The 14863-nt window shown below is 37.6% G+C and overlaps 1 protein-coding gene across 3 annotated transcripts in view, besides 1 other annotated feature; it reads left to right on the top strand.

The window, feature by feature from the left end:
* ASB5 (ankyrin repeat and SOCS box containing 5) overlaps positions 1-14863 on the top strand; it is a 63852-nt gene that overhangs the window by 24006 nt on the left and 24983 nt on the right. Inside the window, exon 1 of one of the 3 annotated variants that reach the window (XM_011531617.4) lies at positions 11826-12057. The exons of the other annotated variants lie outside the window; for them this stretch is intronic. Coding sequence (XP_011529919.1) covers positions 12021-12057 — 37 coding nt within the window. The 5' untranslated portion in view covers positions 11826-12020. Of the gene's footprint in view, positions 1-11825; positions 12058-14863 lie in introns of those variants that run through there. 3 annotated transcript variants of the gene reach the window in all.
* Positions 12738-12907: an enhancer, noted in NCBI's record as "experimental_76294 CRE fragment used in MPRA reporter constructs". NCBI's record gives its function as "activates a minimal promoter by MPRAs in K562 erythroleukemia cells, with activity observed for both the introgressed and non-introgressed 4:177161848 variant alleles {active_cell/tissue: K562}" and the evidence as "EXISTENCE:reporter gene assay evidence [ECO:0000049][PMID:34662402]".

The raw sequence follows: 14863 nt of genomic DNA, 5'->3' as shown, positions 1-14863 counted from the left end.
GGAACAGGAGTAATGAGAGTGGGCATCATTGTCTTGTTCCAGTTCTCAGCAGGAATGCTTCCAGTTTTTGCCTGTTTAGTATGAACTATTTTTCAAAATAGCTAAATCCTAGGTTCTTTAAAAGCTATGTTTGAAACTTGGTAAAATACCAGTCAAAAAGTTTACCAGAATGTGTGCACTGTTGTGCTTTATAAATTGTGTATAAAAGAACTTTTAGTAAATCACTGAATTTTGTCCTTTGGAAATAAAAAATCTGTTTTATAAATGTACATTTTTTAGACTACATTTTTAAAAATTGAGGTATATCTGTGAGTTGTTTTTCCAGTATATATTATGTGATTAATATTTGAAGACAGGAGACAATGAGAAATGGAAAAAAGTAAACATCCTCTTCAACATAAAGTAAGTCTCATGTTTCTCAAAGTTTTGTAATTGGACTTAGTACATGTGTATAGTCAGTCTCTTTTGATGTTTTCTTTTCCTAGGCTTTGACCTGAACATGCCCTACCTCACACTTTAATGTAATGCTAATACATTATATTTTTGTTATAATTCACAAACTTTCACACATGCCATAATCCTCATAACTGTGCCCTACATAAGGTAATGGTATTATGTTATGCTTCCTTTGTAGAGAAGAAAAAAGGCTTTAAACTGCAGAGGCATTTGCTCAAGGTTATTGATCTTAGAGGAAAGTAAAAATGTGAGCCCTGGTCTTCTGACATTGCTTCTGACATCATGCATTCTTACCATTTGTGAGATTTTGTTTCTTTATATTACAAAACAGGCAGTGTCCTTTGTCTAGAGCTAATATCTGTATTGGATTGCAATCTGTCTTTCAGAGTCTTTGTACCAACCCCAGCAAGACATGGATTATCTTAATATTTTCCGTGTGGCTTTTTCCCCATCTTCATGACAGCCTAAACAAACTCAATACTGACCATCTCATCAAGTCAATATCATTACCAGCTTGTATGCCATATGAAGACAGATTCACTTCATCTTCGGAATTTAGACAAATGCCAGCACATGGCAGGTTCTTAATGAATATTCATGGAAGGAAGAAAGGGAAAGAGGAAGGGAGAAAGTGAGGGGACTCAAACTTAAGTGAATGGAATTTGTTACCCTTTTCAATGCAGGATGGTACCTGTTCTAACTGTCCCTAGCTGAATGTTGCGGGTGCATGTGCACTGAATAAGTGTTAATGGATATTGATTCTGGAAGTTAATTTTCAAACAACAAGTGAAGACAGAAAATCAATACTGTCCGAAGTTGAATCTATAAGTAATGCCTTCCATTCCTTCTTCTTAATCAGACATATTGTCCCTTTTCCCGATTTCTTTTAACCTCAAAAAGTGGCATTAGAACAGCACCCCTGCACACTCCGCCAAATAAAAATATTTTATATGCGTGTCTTTTTCTTTTTTTTTTTTTCTTTTTTTTTTTTTTTTTTGAGACAAGGTCTTGCTCTGTCACCCAGACTGGAGTGCAGTGCTGTGATCATAGCTCACTGCAGCCTCAAGGTCCTGGACTCAATCCATCCTCCTGCCTCAACCTCCTGAGTAGCTGGGTCTACAGGTGTGTACCACCATGCCTGGCTAATTTTTGTATTTTTTGTGGAGATGGGATCTAGCCATGTTGCTTGCCCAGGGTGGTCTCGAACTCCTGGGCTTAAGTGATCCTCCCGCCTCCGCCTAATGCTGGGATTATAGGCGTGAGCAATCATGCTGGTCCTATGTGTTTCTCTTTAACTAGAATCAGTTAATGGCTGCTAATGTATTCAAGTATTTTTTCATGTCTTATTAACTCGAAGATCGTTTTCCTTTAAGTAAAGAACACTGCTTGTTCACCTTTTGATTCTCCATTTTTAATTGAATACATTTTTATTCTTAATCTTTTAAGCTTTCTGAGCCAATCTTCAAACAATTTTTTTTTTTTTTTTTTTTTTTTTTTTAATGAGACAGAGTCTCACTGTGTCGCCCAGGCTGGAGTGCAGTGGCGGGATCTCGGCTCACTGCAAGCTCCGCCTCCCGGGTTCACGCCATTCTCCTGCCTCAGCCTCCCAAGTAGCTGGGACTACAGGCGCCCGCCACTACGCCCGGCTAATTTTTTGTATTTTTAGTAGAGACGGGGTTTCACCATTTTAGCCGGGATGGTCTCGATCTCCTGACCTCGTGATCCGCCCGCCTCGGCCTCCCAAAGTGCTGGGATTACAGGCGTGAGCCACCGCGCCCGGCCTGCTTTCTGCTCTTAAGATACACTTCTGCAAATACGTTTGATTTTCATTAAAAGTATCAACATAAAACGTCCCAACTGCTGTCAGAAGCTAAACCTCCCATGAGCACATGGTTAAGCGGTGATAAAACTATCTGTGGCTAGAGCCATGGGGAGGAGAAGGTTTATGTGTAAGATGGTTCTTACATGAAGTCCTTGTCCATGGTGCAGATCAGATTTTCTCCTCGGCAGCTGTTGTCCTCAGACTAGAGAACACAGATTGTTGATTTTATTCCTTGTATGGATTTGCGACCCTTTGAAAATTTCAAGCTGGCAGTTGGTAGATAAAACGGTGTGTGGACAAAGTGGGTAAAAAGAATGAAAGGACCAGAAAAGTGTCATTTTATAAGAATGGTAAATGCCCAGTTCTTATGTACATGCCAGGAACTGCTCTAAACAAGTACCATTATAAACACGTTTAATCTTTATGAAAACCTTATGATGTAGGTGCTGGTGATGAGAGATCTGTTTCTGTCTTCCTTGTTTTATATTCACTAGTTTAGATTTGTTCGCACGTGGCGTTAACTAGCAATCTAGTACATTGGAAAGAGTCCAAGTCAGAAGCAGACAATCTCTGTTCCTGTCTTGTTTTGCTGATAGCCCTATGAGCCGCTTTGAGAATGCCACCTCCCCTCTCTCGACCTGTTTCTTTATCTGCAAAATGAAGGAGTTAGACGGGATCACTGGTTTTTGAATCTTTTCTAAAGCCATTGGGGCTTTCTTTTGTGATCTGGAAGGTCATTTTGTAAAGCTGAGAGTGGAAGCTACCCTGATGGGAGACAGCCCACACTTTGCCAGCACACTCTGAGGTACTTTATTGAACTCCTCGGGCTCTTTGAAGCCATTTGTAAATGGCTAAAGAAAATGATTTCTACGTCCACTTTTAGCTCTGAATGCTAAATAATGCTATGCACATTTATTTTGACTTTTGGTGAATCAGTTTCCTGGCCAGAGAAACTTTTAGCACAAAGAACCCAAGCTACCTTTTGTGAATTTATCACGCCCGTGACCTCAGCCACCCTATTCCAGAACGTAAATGTACTTGACCGAACTCAGAACAGCTGCACTGAGTCACCAAATAATGTGTAATCATCATTATTTTAGGACACTCCCTGTGGCCTTGCAGGTGATATTTCACTTAACTCACTTTCTTTTTCTTTTTCTTTTTTTTTTTTTTTTTGAGATGGAGTCTCACTCTGTCACCCAGGCTGGAGTGCAGTGGTGTGATCTCGGCTCACTGCAAGCTCCGCCTCCCGGGTTAATGTCATTCTCCTGCCTCAGCCTCCCGAGTAGCTGGGACTACAGGCGCCCGTCACCACGCCCGGCTAATTTTTTGTGTTTTTAGTAGAGACGGGGTTTCACTGTGTTAGCCAGGATGGTCTCCATCTCCTGACCTCGTGATCCACCCGCCTCGGCCTCCCAAAGTGCGGGGATTACAGGCGTGAGCCACCGCGCCCGGCCAACTCACTTTCTTTTAAGGATCGCCTAAGGTCACTTAAAGAATGCTGTTGGAAATTTTGCTTCCCCAGCCCTCTGGAGCACTCGTCTAACTCCATGTTTTCTCATCCTCTCCACCAAGCACAGTTTCATATGAGGAGAAATTTCCTAGGTCTTCTCGGATGCCCTGTTACTTCTCAGCACCAATGGGAGAAGAACTGAAGTCTCTTATTACCCTCAGTGGTAGAGCAGACATTCAGCAGATCTGCTCTCCCAATCAGGGAGAGCAGAGAGTCCCACTAAGACTGCAGGTTGGAATAAAGAACAGCAGGGTAAGAAGAGCCAAGTGTTTACTCTTCTCTTCTCATATTGGGAGTGTCGCATTTTCTGTTAACCTCTGCCTCTATTTTAAAATCTTTTTACCTGGGATCTTTTTGTTAATTAGTATTTTCTTGATCATAAAATACGCCGCAACTGGGAAAAATGGTCAGAACTTTGTTTACAGAGTTTAATACAAGATTTTGAAACACAAAACTGTATAGGGCAGATGCGGTGGCTCACGCCTGTAATCCCAACACTTTGGGAGGCTGCGGCGGGCAGATTACTTGAAGTCAGAAGTTCAAGACCAGCCTGGCCAAGATGGCGAAACCCTGTCTCTACTAAAAATACAAAAATTAGTCGGGTGTGGTGGCCCACGCCTGTCATCCCAGCTACTCGGTAGGCTGAGGCAGGAGAATCGTTGGGACCCGGGAAGCAGAGGTTTCAGGGAGCCAAGATCACACCACTGTACTCTAGCCTGGGCGACAGAACAAGACTCTGTCTCAAAAAAGCAAAACAAAACAAACAAAATGTAAACCTGTATAACAACCATTCAAGTCACGAAATAGAACCCCAGAAGCCTTCATGTATCTCTTTTCAATCACAATACCTTCTCCTTCTCCCATCAAGACCGAGTGACTAGTTTTTATAGTAATCATTTTCTTGCCTTTCTTTAGTTTCAGCTCCTATGCATACATCTCATATTGATATGGTTTAACCTATTTTTGAACCCTATATTAATTGAATCATTCTCTAAATATTCTTTTGTTATTTACTTTTACAATGAACAGTATGATATAATTGCCTACATATATCTAGGTTCATTCATTCTCAATAATGTAAATTCCATTACCAATTTGGGGCAATTATGAACAATATTTCTATAAACATCTAGTATAAATAAGTTTTTATAGCTCTAGAAGTGAAATTTCCAGGTCATAGGGCCTGTGTATCTCCAGTTTCTAAGACAGTATTGCCCTGTTTTCCAATGTGGCTGTATCTGTGGTGAAACCCCAGCAGGTTATGAGAATTCACATATTGTCAGTACTCTTAATATTTGCCAATGTGGGCTGGGTACAGTGGCTCACACCTGTAATCCTAGCTCTTTGGTAGGTCGAGGTGGGTGGATCACTTGAGCTCAGGAGACCAGCTTGGGCAACGTGGCAAAACCCCATCTGTACAAAAAATACAAAAGTTAGCCAGGCATGGTAGTGTGCACCTGTAGACCCAGTTACTTAAGAGGCTGAGGAGGGAGACCCACCAGAGCCTGGGGAGGGTGAGGCTGCAGTGAGCCATGATCGTGCCGCTGCACTCCAGCCTGCATGACAGAGTGACTCAATCTCAAAAAAATGAAAAGATAAAAAATAAAAAATTGCCAATATGGTGGGCATGTGGGAGTATATTATGGTTTAATTTTCATTTCCCTGACTAATAATGCCATTTTGATTTTTGTTGACCATTTGTACTTCTTCCTTTGCAATGTGCTCGCCAAATATTTTGCCTTCTATTCTATCAGGCCATCTGTCTTCCCCCTTTTTAAAATTGAGTTTTAGAAGTTATTTTGTATCCTAAAATTGTTAAGAAAATGAAAACATTTAGAAGAACTATTTACAAATATCTTCTGTGGCTTGACTTTTCACTTTTTATTGGTGTTTCTACTGGTGAACAGAAACTCTTAATTTAAAAATAGTCAAATTTACAAATCCTTTCCACTTTGATTAAGACTTTTTGTGGAATTCATCTTAAAAATCTTTTGGCACTTCAAGGTAATGGAAGTATTTCTTCCATATACTTAAAGCATTCCTTTGAAATTCATCCACTTGAATTTAATTTTTTGTATGGTGTAAGTCCATTTTTCACCAAATGCATGGTCAATTATATTCACACCATGTATTGGAAAGTGGGTTCTATATTTCATAATCTATAGTCACTACAGTGCCCAGTTTGTGTAAGTCTAGTGTTTATTCATGCATGAGTCTGCTTATGGGCTCTTATCAATTACATTGCTCTGGACCTATACTACACTAAACTGATTTCTGTAGCTTTAGAATAGGTCTTCATAGACAGAACAAGATCTCCCACATTCTTCTATTTTTTCATAGTTTTGGCTATTCTTGGTAATTTGAAATTCTATGTATCAATTTTAGAAGTAATTTCTGTGGTTCGCACAATACTTGTTGCATTTTTGTTGGAATTCATTGAACCTATAAATCATTTATTTGAAGGAGAATCTACAACTTTGTAATACTTGGCTTTTCAATCATAAATGTAATATAGTTTCTCATTTATATAGGTTTTATTGAATATCTCCCAATAATGTTTTATTATCGTCTCCTGGGGAGATCTTACATATATTTGTTGAATTTATTCATAGGTAACAAATTGTTTTATGCTACCATAAATAATATCTTAATAAATTTTTACATTTTCAACCTGTTTGTCAAGGGCAGAGAGAAATACATTAATTTTTGTATATTAATTTCATACCAAAGAACTTTTCTAAGCTCTCTTATTAATTCTAATAGGAATCTATGGGTTCTATAGGGATTTTTTATGTGAAAAGTTATATTATTTGTGAATAATGAGAGTTTTGTTTCCTTTCTAAATGTTGTACCATTTTTATTTCTTCTTCTTTCTTTATTCTATGGATTAAACCTCTTGTATGATGTTGAATAGATTGGTGGTAGGGAGTGTTCATTTTTGTTTTTCAATTGAGAGGGAAAGCCTTCGACATTCTGTCATTAACCATCACGTCTTCTGAAGGTTTTCTGTTTTGTTTTTGTAGCTACCCCTTACCATTCTTAAGGAAGTATCTCACTTTGAGCTGTGTACACATCTAGACATTCAGTATACTGAGGAGAGTTTGCTTCTGCAAATGCATTTTTAAAAAAGCATTCCCCGTATCATTATTGGTGTAGTTCATGTTTCAGCTTTAATATCTGGAGAAACAGTTCACAGCACCTGAACTCACTAAATAAGCAACTGCACTGTGGTGTGGACTGTCTACACTCATACTCTGTGGTCATGGCTAGTGCTGTGATACTGGTTTAAGTGAAATTATCTTTCAGAGTCCATTCCTTACATCCTGAATACATGTACTGCATGTATCTGATAGGTGGTCTGAAAGGTTCTTCTTTTTCTTAAGATAAGATTTTAAAAAGACTTTATAGAAGATTGCCTCAGAAAAATCTCATCGAATAGCATCATTCTTCCTTTTTCCCTATTATCTCTTGACCCATAAATAGTCTTATAGTAGCTGTAAAAGCCTTTCCCCTTATGGTTAAAATTAAATACAGTAAAACATTTTCCCCCACTTCTTCCAATTCTGATATTTTAACAGCAACACAGCAAGTTCTAATTAGCCTAAGTTAAATAACCATTACTAATTTTACACCAAGATCAATATGGGGGATTTCTTTTTTTTTATCTGTGTAATTTTTTTTTATATACTTTAAGTTCTAGGGTACATGTGCACAACGTGCAGGTTTGTTACATATGTATACAAGTGCCATGTTGGTTTGCTGCACCCGTTAACTCATCATTTACATTAGGTATTTCTCCTAATGTTATCCCTCCCCCAGTCCCCACCCCACGACAGGCCCCAGTGTGTGATGTTCCTCACCCTGTATTCAAGTGTTCTCATTGTTCAATTCCCACCGAAGAATAAGAATATGCGGTGTTTGGTTTTTCTGTCCTTGCGATAGTTTGCTCAGAATGATGGTTTCCAGCTTCATCCATGTCGCTGCAAAGGACATGAACTCATCCTTTTTTATGGCCGCATAGTATTCCATGGTGTATATGTGCCACATTTTCTTAATCCAGTCTGTCATTGATGGACATTTGGGTTGGTTCCAAGTCTTTGCTATTGTGAATAGTGCCACAATAAACATACGTGTGCATGTGTCTTTATAGTAGCATGATTTGTAATCCTTTGGGTATATACCCAGTAATGAGATGGCTGCGTCAAATGGTATATCTAGTTCTAGATCCTTGAGGAATCGCCACACTGTCTTCCACAATGGTTGAACTAGTTTATACTCCCACCAACAGTGTAAAAGCATTCCTATTTCTCCACATCCTCTCCAGCACCTGTTGTTTCCTGACTTTTTAATGATCGCCATTCTAACTGGTGTGAGATGATACCTCATTGTGGTTTTGACTTGCATTTCTCTGATGACCAGTGATGATGAGCATTTTTTCATGTGTCTGTTGGCTGCATAAATGTCTTCTTTTGAAAAGTGTCTGTTCATATCCTCTCCCCACTTTTTGATGGGGTTGTTTGATTTTTTCTCATAAATTTATTTAAGTTCTTTGTAGATTCTGGATATTAGCCCTTTGTCAATATGGGGGATTTCTTTGTGTTTCATTATGTTTGCATAGCTTCATAACGTATCTCATCACTTCCTGGTAATGAATAATTAAGTTTATCTGGGAACTCCTGAAGAGCTGGCTTTAGGGGACAGCTTATAAAGAGGGTGGTGACTGAGGTGAGGCCTGGGTCATCTTTTTTGTTATTGTTGCTGTTGTTGTTGAGATAGGATCTCTGTTGCCCAGGTGAGAGCACAGTGGTGCAATCATAGCTCACTGCAGCCTTGAACTCCTGGGCTCAAGTGATCCTCCCCACTTGAACCTGTAGTGTGCCTGTAGTCCCAGCTACTCAGGATAAGCCCCGACATCCTGAGTATCTGGTGTTATAGGCACATGTCACCATGCCCAGCTAATTTTTAAATTATTTTTTTGTAGAGATGGGGGTCTTGCTATGTTGCCCAGGCTGATCTCAAACTACTGGCCCCAAGCAATTCTCCCACCTCCTCGGTCTTCAAAAGTGTTAGGATTATAGGTGTGAACCACCAGGCCCAACCCCTGGGTCATCTTAACTCAAGTGACTGTTTACAGTTTGGCTATTTTCACTTGGTCGTAGGATAAAATTGAGATTTATCAAAGAGATAGCCACTGTTAGAGGAAGAGTCAGTGCCTCCCTGTACTAGATGTGAGATCGTGTTTTTAAACAGCTGTTCCAGATTTAAATCATACATAGCAATTGAAGTAGTAATTGGCCTATTAAAAACAGCAGTATTTTTATTAAGTGCTATAGGTGTATGTAGCTGTGGATGTAAATGTGGTTTATGTGGTATGCCCTGTACATCAATGAATTTGTGCTTTGGTGTATGAAGCATGTATCACCCCAAACTTATACTTGAAAGATGTCACTTCTGTAGACAAGATTATGGCTATAATTTTATTCTAGCTCTCCTTAATGCTTGAGTCTGAATAAAATTTTAGGCACAGTGTTTTAAAAATCATAAATATAATATATACCATTCAGAGTAGAAGCGAGAAATATGGGATTATAAAAAAATTTAAAAGAACAAAAGAAAGTGAGCAAAGAAACATAGAAATGGTGAGTCAAATACAAAGCACCAAACTAATGTGGGAAAAATAAATCCAAATACATCGGTGATTAAATAGCTATAAATTGAATGGTTTTTCCAGTTAAAAGATTACAATGTTCAGATTGAATTTTTGTAATATCCAGCAATATATTTTTAGAAATGTCCTGTCTAAAACATAAGGATTCAGAAAGGTTGAAAATAAAAGGATCAAGAAAGATGTGCCCAAGGGAAATACTAACTTAAAGCGCTGTTGCTATATTAATATGAGAAAAATAAGACTTTAAGGGAAAAAATTGCCTGCGTAGTGGCTCATGCCTGTAATACCAGCATTTTGGGAGGCCAAGGCAGGCAGATTGCTTGAGCTCAGCGGTTCGAGACCAGCCTGGGCAACATGGTGAAACCCCGTTTCTACCAAAAATACAAAAAATTAGCCAGGCATAGTGGCGCATGCCTGTAATACCAGCTACTCAGGAGGCTGAGGTGGGAGGATCATTTGAACCTGGGAGACGGAGGTTGCGGTGAGCCGAGATTGTGCCATCGCACTCCAGCCTGGGCAACAGAGTAAGACCTGTCTCCAAAAAAATAAAAAATAAAAATAAAGGAAAAAACCTACTAGATGCCACTATATAATAAGAGGTTGAATTTACTAAAAAGCTGTAATAATTCTTATTCACATAATAAAATTGCTTTACAGTATAAAATTCAAAAATTTACCTAATTTTTAAGGAGAAAAATTTTAATCAAATTATCTTAGTAATTGATTGGTTATGCAGACAGACATCTTCATTATATAAACATGTAGAAGAATTTAAAAAGATAGACCTAATTGATATATGGAACTTCACATCCACATTCTTTTCATGGACACTTTGAACATTTATAAGAGTTAAGTATACACAGGACTGTAAAGTATGTCTCAGTAAATTTTAAATGACTAATATTATAAAGTCCAGAGGTTGGCACACTTTTCCTGTAAAAGATTAAAGAGTAAATATTTTAGTCTCCTGGGTCAACTTTGTGGGACTAGTTGCGTACAGTTTCAACTTTGATGTTATGTAAAAGAAAATATAGATAATATATAAACAATTGAGTTTAGTTCTGTTACAATAAAACTTTATTTACAAAAACAGATGATAGGCTAAATTTGGCCTATGAGCCATAGTTGGCTGACCTCTGATAGGGAACATATAACTGGCCTCAGTAATTTTAATGTAGAAATCATTAACAAAATGTAATTAGAAAAAAAATTATTTGGAAGTTAAGAAAAAATATTTTAAAGTAACTCATAGGTCAAGAAATCAAAATTATGTAAAGAATAAAACACTCACTTTCCACAAATTGATGAAGAAAATAAGAAAGCTGCAAGCAGAAATTAATAAAGTGAAAAATGAAGACAGGAAGAATCAACAAAGCCAAAAGCTGGTTCTTTGGACAGACAACCTCTGTCCAAACTTGTCGTTGTTACAGAGGTGCAAATAAACAACAGCTGGATTGAGGAAGAGACTATAATAGCAGATACCGCTGACATTTTTACCATAAGTGGTTATTATATAACAACATAATGCCAATAATTTTGAATATTAAGACAAAATGGACAATTTTCTAAATAACACAACTGATCTAAGCTGAGTTTAGAAGAGAGAACTTAAATAGTTGTAAATTCAAATATGTATATGTATAAGTAGTTTTTAAAATTCCTCAGAAGAACTCCAAGAGCAGATAATTTTACTAGTGACTTCTACCAAGCATTACAGGTGGAAATATTTCTAGTATGTGAACCACAATAATAGAGAAAACAAGAGACTAGTCCCAAACTCCTGTCATGAAGTCAAGCATAAGTAACCTTGTCATCTGTGGTGGCTCCGTGTTGTGTCAGCTTGGTTATGTTGGATCTGTTTCCCTTTTTTGTGTTGTTCCAAGTGAGATTGGAAGAAAAGATAATGTAAGAGTTGGATGGCAGTGTGAGGAAGCTGCAGCTGGGATTCTGAATTTTGCTGTAGGGTACCAGGTGCCGTGGGTGTTTGCACACGTCACTGGTCATTTAGCAACATGCGGAGGTAAAGCTTGTCCTCCTGTCACCGGATCTTCCCCTTTGACCCTTCCGCGTCCCAGGTGTATGTGCAGTTTTGTGGTGAAGGCCACCCTTTTCTCCTTAGGTCATCTACGTCATTGAGGACAAAGATGGTGATAGACAGACACGTTCATGATTTTTTTCCCCATAGCTTCCAGATCACCACTCCATTCTCTCCTATAGGAGAGGAGATATCACTCACCACAAGATTGACATCTGTAGTTTCCCAGCAACCTTTATACAATAAATGAATGACCTTTGGAACAAAGGTTAACTGTTGGATAACAACTGCTCAATTTTTTTTCCAAGATGCTTATGTCAGGCTTACTCTCAGACCTCATCTGCCCTCACTCACTATCACTAGGCCAACAGATTTAGGTACTCATGTTTAAGTAAAGTAGAATAAAAAATAAAATGGAGCAAGAACTGGGCTCAGATATGACTCCTAAAGGTTGTATGAGGGCACGGCCTTGTAAAGAAACCCAAAGCAGCACAGCCTCTGAGAACTGAATAATGGCCCCTTCCAGATGCCTCTTTGCAATGGTGGAAATTTGGCAGTAACAGGTAAAAGAAAACCTTAGGATTTCTCTGTGATGATTTAAGGAGGTTTTATTTTTTTACTTAGTGAGCCCTTAATAGTAATTTTGGAGTAAACATTCATTTTTTTTCTAAGGATGGGAAACTTACACTTTTAAAATGACGTTCAGAAATAAAAAGATTATCACAGACTTTTGTCCTGAGATAAAGGACTTAAAAGTTATATCAACTTAAGTATCATTATTGAAGGCAGTTTGTGAACTGAGTTGCTTTTCAGAAAATAAAAATTATCAACCTGTGTTTGTTAATATTATAGTATTGCTGTTTTTGCGATTATGATATTGCGGTTATAATTATAAAGAATACTCATCGTTTGGAGATAATACTAAAATATTTATGGATGAAATTATATACTGAGATTGGCTTCAAAATAATCCTAGGAGTTTTTGTGGGAAAGTGGGTGAGTTATAGTTGAAACAAGACTAACCGTAAGTTGATAATTGTTGACACTGTGCATGGACGCGCATATATGTTTGAAATTTTTGTAGTAAAAAATGGGGAAAACTGCCAACCCAGATCCAAGTAGGAATATATTTATCCTGATGTTCTTTTTCTGACAATGGAGGAACAATTACTTTTAAGTCCCCAAACTCAGGAATATACCCTCAAAAATCCATATCTGTGGATCACTCATTTGTTAATTTATCTAAATACCACTTCTTGGAAGCAGTGAGCTCTTTAAGTTTGTAATTGGTTGTGTAAGCCAAAAAAGCTAAATTTGTGTCCCCAAGTTTTTAGCTTTAAAAATTGTCAGAAGGTGATCTTGCTTTCTTGTTTTTCAGAATTTCTTGAAAACGTTTACTCACTCTTAACTATGCCTTTCATAATTATGTAGCTTTCTGTCATAATGCCTCTTCGATTTCAACCTTCCAGTTTGAAACATCTATAAGTATTAAGATTTCCCTGCTGCAGAAGTGTCTTCATGTCTTTGATGGTTTCCAGTGCCCTTCTTTGAAACTTTCCAGCTTTAACATCACTTTCCCACTGAGGATTAGTGACCAAACCAGACACAGGTCCCCATGTTTTCAGGGACATTAGCACTGGTTAAAATGGAAATACAATAGTTCCTGGAGATAGAATTGCCTTTGTTTCATATCCTATAAGGTTTAACATTTTATTTTAGTCCCTGTCGGTAGTAACGTTAGACCATCATTCATCTATGGTATATCTTAGATGCTTTTTCTGAGCCATAATAATTCAGAGTCCATTATCTTCTATAGATTACAATTTTTATTAGTTTCCTAGTGTTTTATCTGATACTGGCTCTCTTTAAAACTTCTGTCCACTCATATGGCTTAATGTTCTTCTAGATATCTCGAGATTTCACAGTGCTCTCTTACAGGTACAATCACAGATATCTAGCATTTAAACAATTCTGTCCCTAACGCGTTCACTCACTGTGCATTTCTTTTTATGAATCCATACAGCTGAGCACACAGAACGTACACTGAGCACACTCAATCTATTCACTCTTCTGTTCTTTGTTATTTTCTAGTGAATTAACCATATCATTTTCCTCCAATTCCATGGAGTCATTTTTAAAAATTACTTTTGCTTTTGATCCATTTTTAATTTTTAAAAGAATTAAGTATTGATAGGTTCTCCTTAGTCCACCTTCAGTGCAGCACATCTCCCAGTTCAGTAAGTGTGAGTTATACTCAAATCCAATGGCTTCTTTTTTCCCCACTGCCCTGGAAATTTGTTTACTACCATCGAGGACTACAGAAAGCCTTCTTAAAGCATTCTAGAAAATTCCATATTCAAATTACTCTTTAACAACTCTTTTAGTGCCCACGGCTTAAGAGGTCCAGTACTTAGACCTGTGCAATAACAGCTGTATAGACTCAGTCTCTGTGATCAGAGTGCACAACTAAGTGGGGGAGACACAGAGAAATAGATCATTATAATATACGGTGTCTAAAATTGTTTTCAGAACAAAAATTGTCACAGTACTTATGATAAAACAAAAATTGTCACAATACTTATGATAAAACTTCCTACATTTATTCTGTAGGAATATTATTATGCATTATTATGCATTCTGTAGGAATATGCATTATTCAAAAGCATAAAGCTTTTGTTGTTACAGAATAATAAGTATAAGCTTCAAATTGAAATTTCTTTTAATTAATTTAATTTTAAACAAAAATTAAAATTTACTTTTACTGTATGGTTTGTGTAGATTACCGTACTCCCCTTATAAGTACAAACCAGGCGACAAAGAGCCAGTGGTGAATGACAATTGCTTCATGTAAATATGCTGGACTGAATAGGCCCCTTCAGTCTTTTCTAACTTCACCTAGGAATGTGCCACCCATACAAATAGCCTGGGCCAAGCTGGCTCTGAGTTTCAGTTTCATTGGGAATATCTAGCCTCTTCTGTGGTAATATAATATGTCTACAGCTCACGCACTCTCTTACCTTTTGTGTGTTAGTCATAGAATCTGGTCTTATCCAAGCTCCTCATTTTATAGAGAAGGAAACTATGGTGTCATTAAGCTACTCGCTCCAGGTCACACAAACAGCTGGTAGGATTAGAACTTAATTGAAGATAAGGAAAAGATATGTGTGGTATTCATTAGCGATAACTTGAGGTAAACACTGGCAGTGTAATATGGCAGCAAATGTCCATAGGGTAGTGCATAGGACAGAATTATAGTCATAATTTTTTTTTCTCTTACTTGGCTTGTTACATGAAGACAATAACCCCAGTAATACTTTTTTCCTTTTATATACTAGCAGAAGGTAGAGCCTTAAAAATACTGATGAAAAA

The sequence above is a fragment of the Homo sapiens genome, chromosome 4 (genome assembly GCF_000001405.40).
Source record: "Homo sapiens chromosome 4, GRCh38.p14 Primary Assembly".
In the NCBI taxonomy this organism is placed as follows: domain Eukaryota; kingdom Metazoa; phylum Chordata; class Mammalia; order Primates; family Hominidae; genus Homo; species Homo sapiens.
This window is presented reverse-complemented; position numbering and strand designations above follow the sequence as displayed.